At 52.1% G+C, this 2595-nt stretch overlaps 1 annotated feature.

Moving 5' to 3' along the window:
- Positions 240-739: an enhancer, noted in NCBI's record as "H3K4me1 hESC enhancer chr3:137261039-137261538 (GRCh37/hg19 assembly coordinates)". NCBI's record gives its function as "activates a minimal SCP1, AML or CMV promoter by ChIP-STARR-seq in primed H9 embryonic stem cells {active_cell/tissue: H9 hESC(primed)}" and the evidence as "EXISTENCE:reporter gene assay evidence [ECO:0000049][PMID:30033119]".

Below are 2595 nucleotides of genomic sequence, written 5' to 3' on the forward strand. Positions count from 1 at the left end.
TCCTCATTTGCATATGCCAGCAACAATGGCAGTGTGGTTGGGTACATGCTTTTTGGCTGCAGCAGGGGGTTGGTGGTTGCAGGGGTGCTGGCCTCCATGTGGGTGTTTGCAAAGGCAGCATCTGCAGTAGCAGCAACGGCAACACAGAACAGGGGAAGGGCCAGGATGTCCCTCCAGCATCCACACGTGCACTCATACCAGTGGCAGTGTTAGCACAGGAGCGGGGCACTGGTGGGCACAGGACTATGTGTGCCTTCTATGTGCATGTTCATGTGGGCAGCTGTGGCAGCACAGGGTGCAGGGTGAGTCCATGGTGACCATGCATAGTTCACCCTGGCAGCAGTGTTGGTGAAGGGGTGGGGTGCCAGCAAGTGTAGGGCTCTCTGTCTGTGTGCCTGCAAATGCTCTGATGGCAATGCCAGCACAGTGCAGGGGATGGGGGGGGGAGGTGCACTCATGCTGGCATCAGTGACCTGGCAGGGTCTACATGCTCCCACACACTGGTAGAGAAGTGGAGGCAATGTCTGCCCCTGCACACTCGTGCTGGCAAAACAATTTGGGCATTGGCTATAGGTGACCACGTACAGGCAAAGTGGCATGGGGGAGGCTGCAGTTGGGGAAGGGTGCAAGCAGACTGGTGCTGCTCTACTGAAGCTCTCTGCCAGTAAGTCACAATCCACCAGTGCAGGAACTATGCTGGGAGCCCCCCAAAAGGCACACCATGTGGGCATCCAAGGCTGCACTGCAAGCAGGTGCAGCCATGCTGTGGCCCCAAGAGAGACCAGCAGACCAAAGCGTGCTCAGGTCAGACCAGCCCCATCTCAAGGGCAAGACTGCCCTGCACTGTTCAGGTCTAACAGTTCCCCTTGGACTAAGGTCTCCTAGGGGAACAAGGTGAGCCTTGGGGATGGTCATCCCTGGCTGTGCTCCACTACAGATGCTCCCATACCAAACCCTCTGGGCTCCACATAGGCTGGAGTTCTGCCCCTACCACTTCTCTAAGCAGCTCTCTCTGCCACCTCAAGTGTCCATGGGGATCATGGCATCTCCTGCTGCCACGATTATAGAGACCCATGGCAAGAGCAGGTTGCTCCTTGCCTGTTCAACTCACTTATTCCCCAAGAGTTGTTGGGGACTAGGAATGAGTCCCAGTGCTGTTGCAAGCTTCACCTCCCCTCAGCCTAGCATCTGTATCTTCCCTCCATTCACTCTCAATATCTTCCCTCTGAAGGTCTGCTAGAAGTGCGCCCAGTCTGCCTGATGTCCTGATCCATCAGTGGCAAATGTTTCTCCTGACTGTGTCTACTCAACCATCTTAAGTTACTCCCCCTGAAAATTCTTTATATAGTCAATTAGGTTCCTCTATTATTTTATAATTTCTGAGTTTGCTATGTTGGTGAAAATGGTATCCTCAGCCTTAAAGTTGCACATGTAATCTCCTATGTTTTCTAATATTTTAAAATCTTTTTTCCCATTTATCTTTCATGCATCTGAAATTTTTATAGAGACATTTGGATTATGTGGATTATAATCCAAAATGGCACATACGGATTGCCAATTGTTCCAGTACCATTTATTAAGAAACTATTCTTTTCCACTAGATTGGAATGCCATTGTTTTCATATATTAAATTCACTCCATCCCCTGTTCCAAGTTGGCCAAACAGGAACAGCTCCAGTCTGCAGCTCCCAGCGTGATTGACGCAGAAGATGGGTGATTTCTGCAGGTACCTGGTTCATCTCATTGAGACTGGTTGGACAGTGGGTACAGCCCACAGAGGGCGAGCTGAAGCAGGGCAAGGTGTCGGGGCATTTCCAATGCACAAGGGGTCGGGGGATTTCCTTTCCTAGCCACGGGAAACCGTAACAGACTGTACGTGAAAAAAACGGGACACTCCTGCCCCAATATTGCACTTTCCCATGGTCTTAGCAACCGGCAGACCAGGAAGTTCTCTTCCATGCCTGGCTCAGTGGGTCCCACATCCACGGAGCCTTGCTCACTGCTAGCGCAGCAGTCTGAGATAGACCTGCAGGGGTGCAGCCTGGCTGGGGGAGGGGCATCTGCCATTGCTGAAGCTTCAGTAGGTAAACAAAGTGGCCGGGAAAGCTCTAACTGGCAGAGCTCACTGCAGCTCAGCAAGGCCTACTGCCTCTATAGACTCCACATCTGTGGGCAGGGCACAGCTGAACAAAAGGCAGCAGAAACTTCTGCAGACTTAAATGTCCCTGTCTGACAGCTCTGAAGATAGCAGTGGTTCTCCCAGCATGGTGTTTGAGCTCTGAGAAAGGAGAGACTGTCTCCTCAAGTGGGTCCCTGACCCCCGTGTACCCTAACTGGGAAAAACTTCCCAGTAGGGGCCAACAGACACCTCATACAGGCGGGTGTATCTGAGAATGGATAGACTGCCTCCTGAAGTAGGTCCCTGACCCCCATGTAGCCTAACTGGAAGACACCTCCCAGTAGGGGCCGACAGACACCTCATACAGGCGGGTGCTACTCTGGGATGAAGCTTCCAGAGGAAGGATCAGGCAGCAATATTTTCTGTTCTGCAATATTTGTTATTCTGCAGCATCCACTGGTGATACCCAGGCAAAC

The sequence above is a fragment of the Homo sapiens genome, chromosome 3, assembly GCF_000001405.40.
Source record: "Homo sapiens chromosome 3, GRCh38.p14 Primary Assembly".
NCBI lineage: Eukaryota > Metazoa > Chordata > Mammalia > Primates > Hominidae > Homo > Homo sapiens.